This window comes from Homo sapiens, chromosome 10, assembly GCF_000001405.40.
Source record: "Homo sapiens chromosome 10, GRCh38.p14 Primary Assembly".
NCBI lineage: Eukaryota > Metazoa > Chordata > Mammalia > Primates > Hominidae > Homo > Homo sapiens.
Window position 1 is genome coordinate 103,465,225 of NC_000010.11, and position 14,255 is coordinate 103,479,479.

The 14,255-nt window shown below is 51.5% G+C and overlaps 1 protein-coding gene across 1 annotated transcript, besides 5 other annotated features; it reads right to left on the reverse strand.

Annotated features, from left to right (window-relative positions):
* Positions 2,196-2,335: an enhancer, noted in NCBI's record as "active region_3962". NCBI's record gives its function as "activates an Ori minimal core promoter by ATAC-STARR-seq in GM12878 lymphoblastoid cells {active_cell/tissue: GM12878}" and the evidence as "EXISTENCE:reporter gene assay evidence [ECO:0000049][PMID:35858748]".
* Positions 2,686-2,745: an enhancer, noted in NCBI's record as "active region_3963". NCBI's record gives its function as "activates an Ori minimal core promoter by ATAC-STARR-seq in GM12878 lymphoblastoid cells {active_cell/tissue: GM12878}" and the evidence as "EXISTENCE:reporter gene assay evidence [ECO:0000049][PMID:35858748]".
* Positions 5,723-5,922: an enhancer, noted in NCBI's record as "active region_3964". NCBI's record gives its function as "activates an Ori minimal core promoter by ATAC-STARR-seq in GM12878 lymphoblastoid cells {active_cell/tissue: GM12878}" and the evidence as "EXISTENCE:reporter gene assay evidence [ECO:0000049][PMID:35858748]".
* CALHM3 (calcium homeostasis modulator 3) lies at positions 7,580-14,016 on the reverse strand. Its single transcript, NM_001129742.2, has 3 exons — positions 13,522-14,016; positions 11,070-11,325; positions 7,580-8,480 (listed from the first exon to the last, which is right to left on the reverse strand). Exons 1-3 carry the CDS (start codon positions 13,806-13,808, stop codon positions 7,989-7,991), a joined length of 1,035 nt encoding a protein of 344 aa, NP_001123214.1. The 5' UTR covers positions 13,809-14,016; the 3' UTR covers positions 7,580-7,988.
* Positions 10,785-11,679: an enhancer, noted in NCBI's record as "H3K27ac-H3K4me1 hESC enhancer chr10:105235766-105236660 (GRCh37/hg19 assembly coordinates)". NCBI's record gives its function as "activates a minimal SCP1, AML or CMV promoter by ChIP-STARR-seq in naive and primed H9 embryonic stem cells {active_cell/tissue: H9 hESC(naive and primed)}" and the evidence as "EXISTENCE:reporter gene assay evidence [ECO:0000049][PMID:30033119]".
* Positions 11,680-12,574: an enhancer, noted in NCBI's record as "H3K27ac-H3K4me1 hESC enhancer chr10:105236661-105237555 (GRCh37/hg19 assembly coordinates)". NCBI's record gives its function as "activates a minimal SCP1, AML or CMV promoter by ChIP-STARR-seq in primed H9 embryonic stem cells {active_cell/tissue: H9 hESC(primed)}" and the evidence as "EXISTENCE:reporter gene assay evidence [ECO:0000049][PMID:30033119]".
* Positions 14,017-14,255: the final 239 nt, after the last annotated feature.

Genomic DNA, 14,255 nt, shown 5'->3' on the forward strand with positions numbered 1-14,255 from the left:
TGGCCAGGTTGGTCTCAAACTCTTGACCTCAAGGGATCCAACCGCCTCGGCCTCCCAAAGTGCTGGAATTACAGTCTTGAGCCATCACACCCAGCCTTTCACCACTATCTTCTAAAGGTTGCTCACTAAAAACAGCCCAGACTGTCTGCCTGAGGGCTTTTTTTTTCTGGCACTGGGTTTACATTTGGCCCAAGGAAACCTGGAGGTGCCCAGCTAGTGCCCTAGCCAGTGACAGCCAGAGATTGGTGAAGACATGCCACCTCCTCGTTCCTGGGGAGCGGTTACTCGTGTTGTGCTCTCCCCGAGCTCCCCGGTCGGATCATGCTCTGGTTGCCCACGGTAGTAACTGGCTGGCGGCTCTACCCTTGGTTGGCTTTCTTCCCTCTCCAGTATCACTTCTGTTCCTTGCAGGGTTCCCCGGAAGCAACATTCTTATAAGCTATGTGCACTCATTTCCTTTTCTCAGGACCTGCTTCTGGGAAATACTGTGGGTCTTTTAAATTTTTATTTGTTTATTTAGAGACAGGTTCTTGCTCCATCTCCCAGACTGGAGTGCAGTGGCACAATCACAGCTCACTGTAACCTTGAACTCGTGGACTCAAAAGATCATTAAGTCTCAACCTCCAAAGTAGCTAGGACTACAGGTGTGCACCACCACGCCCAGCTAGGGTTTTTTTTTTTTTTTGTAATTTTTGTAGAGATAGGGTCTTGCTATGTTGCCCAGGCTGGTCTCAACTCCTGGCCTCAATGGATCCTCCCTTGCCTCGGCCCCCCAAAGTGCTGGGGTTATAGGCGTGAGCCACTGTACCCAGCCATATCATGTGTCTTGATGGTGGCATCACAAGATGGCAGTGTCAGCTGGGTCCCCAAGCGACTGTGTGGGGCAGATCCCCCTTCTTCAACCTCCCTTCCCTGTTTAACTACATCAGGTTTTGCTTGAGTGAGAAATACATCTTTATTGTGTTAAGCTACTGACACTTTTGTTTTATTTTTACTGTATTTTATTATTTATTTATTTATTTTTGAGATGGAGTTTCACTCTCTTGCCCAGGCTGGAATGCAGTGGCATGATCACGGCTCACTGCAACCTCCACTCCCCAGGTTCAAGTGATTCATCCTGCCTCAGCCACCCAGGTAGCTGGGACTATAGGCATGTACCACCACCCCCAGCTAATTTTTATATTTTTAGTAGAGACGGGGTTTCACCATGTTGCCCAGGCTGGTTTCAAACTCATGACCTCAGGTGACCCGCCTGCCTCAGCCTCCCAAAATGCTGGGATTACAGGCGTGAGCCACCGCGCCCAGCCTAGTGTATTTTATTTTACATTCCCAGCCTAGCCTAATACAATGTTTATGTGTGAGATTTTAAGCAAGACACCCAGAGTCCATTCTAACTCTGAAATACCTCTAATCTATCGATTCTCTCCATCTCCACCCTAATCCAAGCCCCATCAGTTCTTGCCTGCCTTCTGCAATTCACATGGGCCCCTTTCAAGACACTCCCAGGCTGTGGCCAGGGGAATCTTTTAAAAGTGAACATCTGACTAAATTACTACTTAATTCCCTCCAACGGTTTAAGTCCAAAATCCTTAACAGGGCCTGTAGGACCATGTGAGAGCTGGTACCAGGGCAACTCTCCTCCCGATGCCTCCTCCCCAGCTGACCAGTTTGCTTTCAGTTTCTCAAACAGGACAAGCCCCTTCCCATCTCAGGCCTTTGCACAAGTTCTGCACATTCCAGCAATACTTCTCCCCCTATTCTCACCAGAGAAATTCCTGTGAATCCTTAAGGTCTCAGTGTAATGATTGTGTTGGGGCTCAGAGAAACAATACCCTGAAATGAAGGTCTCAGAAGCAAAGGACTCTTTCTGACCCTCACCTGTGCCCCTGTCTCTCGCCCCTCATTCTCCTCCAAGGTTAGCCATAGAAACTAGACTCCCTCTTCCCCAGGGTGGGTCATAGAAACCAGAACCCCTTTCTCCCTGAAGCCAGCCATAAAACCATACAACCTAAAAATATTACTCTAGGCCCAGCGGGTAGTGGTTCACGCCTGTAATCCCAGCACTTTGGGAGACCGAGGCGGGTGGATCACCTGAGGTCAGGAGTTCAAGACCAGCCTGGCCAACATGGCGAAACCCCGTCTCTACTAAAACATACAAAAATTAGCCGGGCGTGGTGGCAGGCACCTGTAATCCCAGCTACTCGAGAGGTTGAGGTAGGAGAATCGCTTGAACCTGGGAGGCGGAAGTTGCAGTGAGCTGAGATCACACCACTGCAGTACAGCCTGAGTGACAGAGAGACTCTGTCTCAAGAAAAAAAAAAAAAATTACTCTAATCTCCACCCCCAACATTTCTGTGTGAAAACTGGCCATAAAGAAATGATTTGACCTGCCTTGTTAGGTTGCAGGTCACAAGATCCCCTTCCTCCTGTCCCATGGGAGAAAGAAGTGCTGCCCAGAGAGGCCCGGGAGAACCTTAACGGAAGCCTTGCTGGGTTTTCCCCCCAAGTCTGTGACATCAGCTCAGATCTTTTTTGTCCAATCGTATTTCTGCGTGGTTGTTTCCATACTCTGTTGAACCTAAGCATAAAAATGGACCATTTCCTCTGTGTCTTTGGGTCTTCATCCTAAAAACTCTGGCATCAAATTAATATGTATGCTTTTCTCCTGTTGATCTGCTTTTTGTCAGTGATTTTCAGTGAACTTTCATTGGGTGAAGGGGACGTTTTCCCTCCCCTACAGTTCCTTCTTTAGAGAGGCCTTCCTGAACCTTCTGCTGAGACCAGTCCTGCAGGATACAGGCTTTCAGAGCCCCCTGGATGTACTTCCCCTTCCAGCACTGAATACAATTGTAATTACTTTTTGAGGTGGGTGGGTTATTTAATATCTAGGGGCTCCCATTGTACCATAAAGGCTAAAAGTCCTCATCTGTTTTATTCACTACCATATGCCCAATGCTTAGCACAGTGTGCCTAGTACATAAAGGATGCTCAGTTAATAAGTGTGAATGAAGGAATACATGAACAAGTGAATGAAGAAAAGAAGTGAATCTTGGACCAAGATAAATTTGTAGGGAGGCAAGAATTCAGACACAAAAGGGAGACAGCACTCACCTGTACAGTTCCGCGAGGAGATAAGACAGTACACTTCTGAGACGGCACAACTCTGTGAGATGAGTGCGGGGTGAAATGCCTGTACGAAGCTCACTGCCATGGCAGCTGCCACCAGATCACCTCCGACTGGCCTCCTCTAGACCCTCAGGGACCTCTCCCCATCCCACATGCCTCAGCCTCCCCCATCACAGCCAGTCAGCACAGGCAGGGAGAAGTCATTTCATGTGGCTGCAAAGGGCTGGGCAGAGCTGAGCCCCAAACAGAGAACTCCCTCATTTTCTTCTTCTTTTTTATTTTTATTTTTTTGAGACAGAGTTTTGCTTTTGTTGCCCAGGCTGGAGTGCAATGGTGTGATCTTGCCTCACTGCAACCTCTGCCTCCTGGGTTTAAACGATTCTCCTGCATCAGCCTCCCAAGTAGCTGGAATTACAGGTGTGCGCCACCATACCTGGCTAATTTTGTATTTTTAGTAGAGACAGCATTTTACTATATGTTGGCCAGGCTGGTCCCGATCACCTGACCTCAGGTGATCCACCCACTTCGGCCTCCCAAAATGCTGGGATTATAGACGTGAGCCACCGCATCCAGTCATCTTTTTTTTTTAGGATGGGGTTTTGCCATCTTGCCCAGGTTGGTCTTGAACTCTGGGCTCCAGTGATCTGCCTGCCTTGGCCTCCCAACATGCTGGGATTACAGGCATGAGTCACCATGCCTGGCTGGACTCCCTCATTTTCAATGAGAGCCTTGGAAATGGGAGCATGTTAGTGTGGACACGATTTCTCTGCTCCCATTGTAGTCTTTGGGTCCCAGTGCCCTTCCCCGTATGGGGATGCTGAAGGTCTCTCTTGTATCATCGTCACAAATTGGGGCAGGTGCCCAGGGATTTATACGAATCATATAGAAACCTACCCATCTGCTTGGCCAGGACTACCTCCCTGGGTGAGCAGTCCCCTCCCCTGGGAAGTTGGCAATAACCGGTGACTTTCCCTCTGTCCTTCCCCTGCTCGGTTGCTCAGAAGCACCACTAGATTTGTTGGTCCTCCTTCCCCCGTCTAGGGATTCTCTCCTCCCTGGCCTGCCTCTGGACTCTGCCTCTGTGACTAACCCTTTCTCTCCCTTGTTGCCTCCTCTTCCCACTCCAGAACTTTAAAAGTCTTAGTCCTTCCTCATCTCACAGAAGCCCCTCCTCTCGATGGCCCTATCCATTTCTGCAGCTTCAGCATCCTCTCCACATGTGTGAACCCCAAATATCATCACTCTTCCTGACCTTGCCACCAAGCACTTGTCTCTCATTCCCAATTGCCAGCAGGATAAAATCAAAGTCCTGAGCTAAATCCTCAAGTCTCCTGCCATCTTCCCCTCCTCTTGCAAACCTAGCTGAGATGGGGACCACAGCTGCCCAGGCAGCATGAGGGTGGGGACTGGAACAGCCAATGCCCATGCCTCCAGTACATTCCTGCCTTGTCTGGCTTGCCACTGTGTCTCCCGAAGAAGGTCCACATACAGGACACGGTGAGGGGTTTGAAACCACACTGGGGACAGAAGAGGATGAAAGATACATTTGAAAGCTGTCAAGGACAGAAGATCAAGAGAATGTATTCCCAGGTACCGAGCTCAGGGAACATGGTTTGATGGGACTCCTGGGCCCTCTGGCCAAGGTCTTTTGCTTTTGCCAGGCTGGACTGCATGCCTCTCCACTTGGCTCTTTGTTCACTTGTTTTATCTCTCTATCCACTTCCAGACTCGAAGCTCCATTAAGACAGAACTATCTGTCTTGCTCTCTGGCCACTCTAGGCATTCAGTGAGTATCTGCTGAATAAATAAATAGAACATGCTTTGCCCCTTGCCCAACTTTATGCCTTTGTTCCTTTTTCTTTTTTTTTTTTTGAGACGGAGTCTTGCTCTGTCACCAGGCTGTTGCAGTGGCGTGATCTTGCCTCACTGCAACCTCCGCCTTCAGGGTTCAAGCGATTCTCCTGCCTCAGCCTCCCGAGTGGCTGGGATTACAGACGTGCTCCACCACACCCAGCTAAGCTTTGTATTTTTAGTAGAGACGGGGTTTCACCATGTTGGCCAGGATGGTCTTGATCTCTTGACCTCGTGATCCGCCCGCTTCAGCCTCACAAAGTGCTGGGATTACAGGCGTGAGCCACTGCGCCCAGCCTATGCCTTTGTTCTTATTTCTTCCCTTGAGATGCTCTGCACCCTCCCTCCATCTTTCTTTCCACATGTCCAAATCTTTCCCATCCTTAAGACCCATTCAAATGGCACCTTCATTGTGAAGCCTTCCCTCACCCTCAACCCCCGCCCCACTGAGAGCCTCCTTCTCCCTGCTAACTCCCCATGGCACCTGGTTTGCCTTTATTAGATCACTTACACCTTATGCTTTGGATTCTCATAATTTCTGTACTCACCTCTGTCCCCCTAATAAAGTGCCAAGATGTAGACTTTGCTCTCCTCTAGGCCTCTGCCCCTTGCTGATGACTCCCCTCTCTACCCCATCCCTGCCCCGCAGACGTCCTGCTATGGCCTCCATCAGCACAGATGTTGGCCACAGACAGCATACCCGGGTTCGCCCCATGCTTTTCTACTTCCTCAGCACAAGGAAGCACAGCTCCTTGAGGGCAGGGGCAGGTCATCAGTGTATTCTCTCTTCCCTATTCCCTGGCACAGTGCTTTCTATGCAGTAGGTGCTCTATAAGTGCTCAGTATAGGAAGATAAGAGTATTGATTGCAGTCGGCGACTTTTTACTCCAGATGCTGCTTCCCTGGAGCCCAAAGCAGCCTCCCTGAGCCTCCTTTCCCCAGGCTGGGACCTCACTCATGCAGACTGGGCCGCCGCCAAGGTCTCCCTCCTTCCTCCACACCCTATCACTGCTAAAGCTTTGCCTAAACCAGGTCCCAACCCAGCACTATTTCCGACATTTGCATGGCCTGACCGCAGCCAGTAGGTCGGGGGAGGCTGAGCTGCAGGGATTTTCGGGTCTCACAAGGTCTCTTGTCAAGAGCCCAGGAGCACAAAAGTTGCCTGATGAAGGGGGCAGGCTCCAGGGTGGGGGGCATCCAGGGGCCCCTGTACTTCCTGGGGTGCTGAGGAAGTAGAAAAGCATGGGGTGAACCCAGGTCTGCTTCCTGTGGCCACCATCTGTGCTGATGGAGGCGACCACAGGGTGTTGGGGGTGGGGGTAGGGAGTGGGGGCTGGATGAGTCATCAGGGAGGGGCAGAGGCCCAGAGGAGAGCAAAGGCTAAATCTTCCCCAAACCCTTCCTGTTCGGGCTGCCAGAGATGGAGTGGCAGTTTTGTTTTTTTGTTTTTTGACACAGAGTTTCGCCCTTGTTGCCCAGGCTGGAGTGCAGTGGCGCGATCTTGGCTCACTGCAACTTCTGCCTCCCAGGTTCAACCTATTCTCCTGCTTCAGTCTCCTGCGTAGCTGGGATTACAGGTGCCCACCACCACACCCGGCTAATTTTTATATTTTTAGTAGAGACGGGATTTTACCATATTGGCCAGGCTGATCTCAAACTCCTGACCTCAGGTGATCTACCCGCCTCGGCCTCCCAAAGTGTAGGATTACAGGCATGAGCCACTGAACCCGGCCTGGAGTGGCAGTTTTTCCAGCAGAACTAACACCGGCATTTCAAGGGTTTTTATCCCTGAGCTAGAACCCACACTCCTACTTTGCTCTGAGGAAATCTTCACCAGGGTGCTAACCTCTTGCTAAGGGCAGCAGTAGATACCCCTGGGAATGTCTAGGGGAGGGGGTCATCTTAGGAAGGGACCTTGCTGAGCCCAGGGCTCAGGCTAGCGGTGGGGCAGGTGGTGCATGGAAGGTGAGGGAGGAGCACCTGCCCCCGCTGCAGGAGAGCAGAAGGCTGAGAGGAACTGAATCTTGAAGGAGGAGGACCCAGGCAGGGCTGTTTGGCCTTGGTTGGCCAGAATTGGTGGGGCCTGGGAAGGTAGGAGCTGGGAGAGTCAGCCCCTTGACATTCAAACACAGAAATATCCCCTCAACAGGAAAATATAAAAGTAGTCATCTGTAGTAGCCAGCAAGAGGCACTAACTAGTGGTTTCAAGAGGAACTCAACTAGCAGAGCTTGCTAGAACTTGCTATGAGAAACTTGGTATAAGCTGCTAGAAACCCCAGAGAATTAAAGACACAAGCCCGGGCATGGTGGCTCACGCTTGTGTATCCCAGCACTTTGGGAGGCCGAGGCGGGTGGATCACCTGAGGTCAGGAGTTCGAGACCAGCCTGACCAACATGGTGAAACCCTGTCTCTACTAAAAATACAAAAATTAGCCGGGTGCGCATGCCTGTAGTCCTAGCTACTCGGGAGACTGAGGCAGGAGAATCGCTTGAACCGAGGAAGCAGAGGTTGCAGTGAGCCGAGATCGCGCCATTGCACTCCAGCCTGGGCGACAGAGCAAAACTTTGTTTCAAAAATAAAAGACAATTACACAAATGAAACTATCGAGGCAGCAGACTAAGGTCATTATTATTATTTAGAATTGACATCTAGAACCCAGAACCCATGGCAGATTTACTTAGATTCTTGCTACTCAAAGTTTGGTTCACTGACCAAAAGCACATCAGCCTCCAGGAGCTTGTTTAAAATGCAGAATCTCAGACTCGGTCCTGGCTACACTGTCTGAACCTGTATTTAACAAGGCCCTCGGTGAACCGAGTCCACATTAAAGTTTGTGAAGCGCGCTGGAGGCCACACCCAGAAACTAGGCAGAGATTGGGCTACTTTAAAAAGGAGGCTAACAAGACTTAGGGTGCCTGCCGTGGGGTCCCCACGGCCTGGAAAGACTCCAGAACTTTGTCAGCGCGGCATTTCACCTGCGAACACTGCCGCTTCAAGCCTGGCCAGGACCCTACACGTCGGTGTGTTGTGACAGCCTCGTGCCCAGTGCCAAGGTAGGGGCGCGGTGGCTAAGGCCACCCCCGCAGAGCCCGGGGGATGCAGCCAGGTCCAGCGGCGGCTTGCTGGAGTACCACGTGCTTAGGAGGCGGTCCACCTGCTCCCGGCTGGAGATTGCGCGCAGGTGGGCCTTCCCACTTCCACTATCCAGGCCTTCTGGGGGCTCAGGCACTGCGGGGAGCTCGAGTCTCCTGCCTGCATTGCCCCGGCGCAGCCCCCGCGCCTGCAGCTCACTCCGCATGCTGGCAAAGAAGTGCAGCACGCAGCGGTGCGCGAAGTCCCGCGCATGCTCACAGCAGGTCTCGTCGAAGAGCTTCTGCTCCAGGTCCACGTAGTTGCTCCAGTATCTGCGCTGCAGGAAGACTGTCTGGTCGAAGCAGGGCCTCAGGCAGCGGGCCAGGAAGGCCGCGATGATCAGCAGCAGGGTGACGCTCCAGCCGATGGCCTGCAAAGTAAGGAGGCCCGAGGTTAGATGTGAGTGGGGCCTAATCCTATATACATATGTATTTATGAATACGTATATGAATGTTGCATATTTAATTTGATCATGTCTACATAATAATATTCTTCATTTTCCAATGGATTCAAATACTCCTTAGAGAATTTAACTGCAGTATACCACTCCAAACATCATAATTCATTAATCAGAGTATTGAATGAAATGGGACCAAATAAAATAAATTGAGAAGAATGAACGCAAAGAAAATTGTGTGATCATCAGATTACATGTCCTCTTTTGTATCCCTGTGTCCTTGTAAATTTAATTAACTCTTAGAGCATCTGCTACTTGAGGAATTGTCCTGTATAGTGTGGCAAAGGTATTCCAAAGTCCCTCCTTTTACATTTCCCATCCATCCTTCCTCAAATCTATCCACTTTCCTATTCAGTCATCCGTCCTGCCAACCATCCTTCATCCATTCATCTATCCTCCCTTCCATTCATTCTCTCATCCTTGCATCTATCCACCCATTCAATCATCTCTCCACCTATCCAATCGTCCATCCTCTTGTCTTACTGTAAATTCGTCATCTTCCCATCCAGTCAAGCTCCTAACTATCCTTCCATCTGCCATCATCTATCCATCTCTTCTCCCATTCATTCATGCTCTCATATGCTCCTCCTTCCTTCCCTTGATCTATCTACTCATCCACCCCCCCCATCCAACCATCTATCATCCATCCTCTCATCTTTTTATTTATTTATTTATATTTTTTGAGATGGAGTCTTGCTCTGTTGCCCAGGCTGGAGTGCAATGGCGTGATTCAGCTCACTGGAACCTCCCCCTCCTGGGTTCAAGCCATTCTCCTGCCTCAGCCTCCCGAGTAGCTGGGATTACAGATGTGCACCACCATGCCCAACAAATTTTTGTATTTTTAGTAGAGACGAGGTTTCACCATGTTGACCAGGCTGTTCTCAAACTCCTGACCTCATGTGATCCACCCGCCTCGGCCTCCCAAAGTGCTGGGATTACAGGTGTGAGCCACCACGCCCGGCCCCCCTCATCTTTTTATCCAGTCCTTTGTCATCCTTGTGTGTGCTTATCTGTCTATCTTCCCATTTAGGCATCCACTGTGCTATATTTTGTGGGAGGCACTGTGCTAAGAACTAGGGGCTCAGTCGTTGCTCTCACAGAGCTCATACCTTAGTGAAGGAAATAGATGATTAAATAGGTGATGACTGGGTACTTGTCATAGAGAGGGAGTCCAGAGGAGGGACACCCATCCTGACTTTGAGGGCCAAGACTGAAGGCTGAACGACAGTGACACACAATATGAACAGGGGACAGTGTTCCCAGCCAGGAATGAGGACAAACTGAAGTAGTTCTCTAAAGCTGGGGCCCACACCTGGCAGACTCCTCTCCCTCCTCTCTACCTTCCAAAGCCATAGTCTCTTTAAGGCCCAGCTTGAGACCTGATGCAATTGTGTGGACCTGGAGCAGGGAAGTCACGTCTCTAAACCACAGGGACATATTTGAATCCTTATCATTTACAGAAGTGATTTCCACGATTTATAAAGCTCTCTCATTTGGCATCTCACAGGACTCCCCCAACATCACCAGATTTAAGGTGAGTATTTTATACACGAGAGTAGAAAACCAAACAACTTACTAAACTTTACATGACTGATAATTTACAGCTGAGTCAGGATTCAAACCCCGGTCTCACTGCAAATTCCATGCTCTTTCCACCGAACTAGGGAAAGCCTAGAGTTTTGAAGCTTGCAGGGACCATCAAGATGGAGGAGACCAAGCTCCCCTGTATTTTGCATGATAAACTGAGGTCCAGAGGGGTAGTCCCATGGCCACGGTCACAGTCTGAGCCAGAATCAAGTGCATCCTGCACCTGGGTCCTCCCTCCACCGCACCATTGGCCAGCCCATGAGCCTGTCAGACTTCCCAAGGGGCAGGGGCTGTGTGTTTATTATCTATAGCCCTAGTGGTGCTCCGTGTGTAGTGGGTTCACATAAATACTTTTTGGTGGACACAACTCAGTGCTGGGGCTGTAGGAGCAGTGGTGGTGGAATCTGGAGTCTAGGCTGGGGGTAGAGCTGGGGTTTGTCCCCCAAGATAATAGAGTTGGTGCCTTTTGGGAAGATCAGCATCTGGAGAGAGCCTGCATTGTTGGAAGGTGGTTAAGAGGAATAATGACACTCCTTCCGATCCCTGCTCTGCCTCTTATAAGCTTTGTGACTTTGGCCTTATGAACTAAACTCTCAGAGCCTGCTTCCTCACCTGGAGAATGGGATGATAATGGTTGTTCCACAAAGTAAATGAAATAATACATATAAAATGCTCACTGCAGTGCCTGGCACATAAATGCTCAATAAGTGGAGATTAGTATTATTTCTCACGGGTGGGAAGAAGGTGTGCAGTGGGCGCAGGCAAGGCAGAGCAGTGGTCTCCAGCACTTCCCTGCCTCCTGGGAATGGGCTGAGCCCATCATCTGTCCCTCCTCACCACCCCCTCACCCCACTCCAGAACCAATGCGGGGGATTTGTGAGGGTGCAAGGGCCGGGGGAGGATCACCCCAGTTACCTGTGACAGGCACCGCAGGTAGCGAGACACTGCCTTCCGAGCAGGGCTATCCCTGACCAGCTCATCCTCCTTGCAGGGAACCTTGGCCAGGAAGAGCTGTACCTGGCTGGGGGTCATGTTGGCAAAGTCCAGAAACTTCTCAGGGTCCACAGAGCTGCTGAAGGCACACACGAAGCACTTCCCGTCAAGGAGGGCCAGCAGGATCCAGACCAGGGGGGCGGCCAGCGCCCTCTGCAGCACAGAGGAGCACATGTACCTGGCAGCAGAGGAAGGAGGGGGGTCAAGGGGCAGCTGGAAGTCAGCTGCAGCAGGGGAGGTGCAAGGATGGACTGCTGGGAAGTCCCAGGCTGGGTTACATCAGACTGCAGCTCCCAGTGTAGAGGTCCCAGTGACAGAGACAGGCAGAAAGGAGGGCAGGGGCCCCTGGGATCCCCAGGACTGGAGCACTGAGGACTTGGTATTCCTCTTGCCCTAGGCCTTACAGCAGACACTGCTGGTGCCCTGCCCATGCCAGAGGCATCTGTGGGTGCAGTGGCTGGTTCTATTCACCTGGAGGGCCTGAGGGCCTCCTACCTCAAGCATCTGCATTGTTCTGCCCCTGGGGCTTTGGAGGATTTTTTGCTCCAGAGAGGGGTAGGCTGGAAGCACTGAAAAGTTAACCCCCAAATCAACCTTCAACCCCAGAGGGATGGGGCCTTGTGGATAAATATCCCAGCTTCTTAAATCCTCAGTGGGAAAATTCTGAGATGTGTTCTATGCATGCCCTTAGGGGGTCCCCTGAAGGATTAAGCCCCAGTTGCCCACTCATTATCACATTCTTTCAGAGCCTGCTTTTGGAGGAGAGCCTAAGCTAAGACAGCCCTGCCCAGTAACCCTCCAAAAGCAGCACCTCTAACACCCCTACCCACAAGGCATCCCAGGAGCCCACCCTCTGACCGGCCTCAGGCGCCTTTCCAGATCAACTCTGCCCCTGCCTGTAGTGACCTCGACTGGGTATTGGCCACAGGACAGGAGCCCAGTGGAGCTGTGCCCACTGGACCCCAGAGGAAAAGGCCAAGGACACACCCAGTGCCTGTGACCCACCCTGCACAGCTGAATTGCAGGGAGATGTGATCCCTGAGAACATGGAACAGAGGCTGAGGGTGCACCGGATGCAGATGTTGTTTCTGAATTGGATTGTACACAAAACATCCAATGGTGTGTGCCAGGTGTGTGCGTGCATGGCCTACCCAGTGTGAGCTGTAAATATGTTCTAGGCAGTGGTGGCTTTAGCATTTTCTTTTCTTTTTTTGTCTTTTTTGAGTCTTGCTCTGTCGCACAGGCTGGAGTGCAGTGGCACGATTTCAGCTCACTGCAACCTCTGCCTCCCAGGTTCAAGCGATTCTCCTTCCTCAGCCTCCTGAGTAGCTGGGACCACAGGTGCCCAACACCACGCCCAGCTAATTTTTTATATTTTTTAGTAGAGATGGGGGTTTTGCCATGTTGGCCAGAGTGGTCTCGAACTCCTGACCTCAGGTGATCCACTCGCCTCGACCTCCCAAAGTGCTGGGATTACGGGTGAGAGCCACCGCGCCTGGCCCCCCCACCCAATCTCTGGCTCCTTATTTTCCCCCAAGGCTAGCCATAGAAACTAGAATCCATCTTCCCCAAGGTGGGTCATAGAAACCAGAACTCCTTTTCTCCAAAGCTGCCACCATAAAACCTAAAAATATGATTCTAATTTCCCCCCGCCTTTCTGTCTGAAAACTGGCCGTAAAGAAATGATCTGACCTACCTAGTTTCATTGTAGATCATAAGACTCCCTTCTAGAGAGGGTCCTGCCCCGTGTCTGGGAGAAAGGAACACTGTATAGAGAGGCCAAGAAGAACCTAGATGGCCTTGCTGAGTTTCCCCACTCCGTCTATAACATCAGTTCATCCCTTTTTTAATCCAATTCTATTTCTGCGTGGCTATCCAAACCTTGTTGAACCTAAGCATAAAAATGAACCATTTCCTCTGTATCTTTAGGTCTTTATTCTGAAGGTTCTGTGGCACATAAAACGGTAATCAAATAAATTTGTATGCCTTTTCTCTTATTAATCTGCCTTTTGTCAGTTGATTTTCAGCAGAGCTTCAGAGGGCAAAGAGGAAGTTTTCCCGCAGCCCCTAGAGTGGCCTGGGTAATTGGGAATCCTGTGTCATTCCTATGTTTACAGCACTGGCCACGGAAAGGTGACAAACGATAGGAACAGAAATATGTTTCCAGAGTGGAAACTGGCAAGTGGCTCTCTGTGAGCCGATAATTCCTAGTTGGGGAAAGGAGAGGGCGCACCTGGCAGTACCTGTAGGGTGGGTGGAGAATCCCCTGATAATGAGAATGGTTGGGGTCTGGGGGTGCACTTGACAGTGCCTGTGGGGTGGCTGGGGAGCCCCTGGCAAAGCTCATGGGTCACTGAGTGGTGTGGGACCGCACCTGATGATGCCTGGGTCCTTCCTCCGGTGCCCTGCGGGCCGGCGCCACTCCTCGACCATCACCACAGACTGCCGGTTGGCGAGGAGGCCGCAGAGAAACAGGGCGAGCGGGGGCGTCAGCAGCAGGCCCAGGCCGTAGAGTGCATTGTAGTGCACCAGGCAGGGACAGTTGAAGTCAAAGGAGGAGTACAGCTTGACGGTGACCGCAGCCAGCAGCAGGCAGATGCCATTCATCACCGACTCCGAGCTTGACTGGAAGTGCTGGAAGAGCATGCGGAATTTATCCATGGCTCCAGCCTGGGTGGGTGGGCGGCCGTCGGTTCGGCTCAGTGAGGCTCTGGCCACCTTCCTGGTGTCTGCTGTGCTGGGGACGAGCCTGGGATCTGCAAGAGGTTCTCTCTCTGCTTCCAAGGGCCTGAGGGGCCAAGGAGGAAGCAGTGCCCAGGCCCCAGCCCAGGCTCCCGGGATCCAGTAGGCACTTAAGGCAGGGACAGGCTCTCACCACAAAGGCTCCCCTGCCCAGCCCAATGGTCCCCTGGTGCCACTCCCCTCCTGTCTGGGGGAGTGAGTCACCCTCTGTGACCGGGCAGCCCAAAGCACCTCTAGGCAAATGGGCCCCGCCCTGTCACTCCATTCCTCCCGGCCCATTTCTCTTTGCTTTACGGTCTGGATGCTCAGGCTTGACAGCCGTTGGAGCTTCCTTCGGGGGACAGGCAAATTCTGGGTGTGGTGAGG

Excerpts from the sequence above, each read along its gene's own strand:
- CALHM3 (NM_001129742.2), bottom strand. The coding sequence starts at position 13,808 with ATGGATAAATTCCGCATGCTCTTCCAGCACTTCCAGTCAAGCTCGGAG. Across the intron at positions 11,326-13,521 it reads AAGGACCCAGGCATCATCAG|GTACATGTGCTCCTCTGTGC; the intron begins GTGCGGTCCCAC and ends CTCTGCTGCCAG. Across the intron at positions 8,481-11,069 it reads ACCTGCGGTGCCTGTCACAG|GCCATCGGCTGGAGCGTCAC; the intron begins GTAACTGGGGTG and ends CTTACTTTGCAG.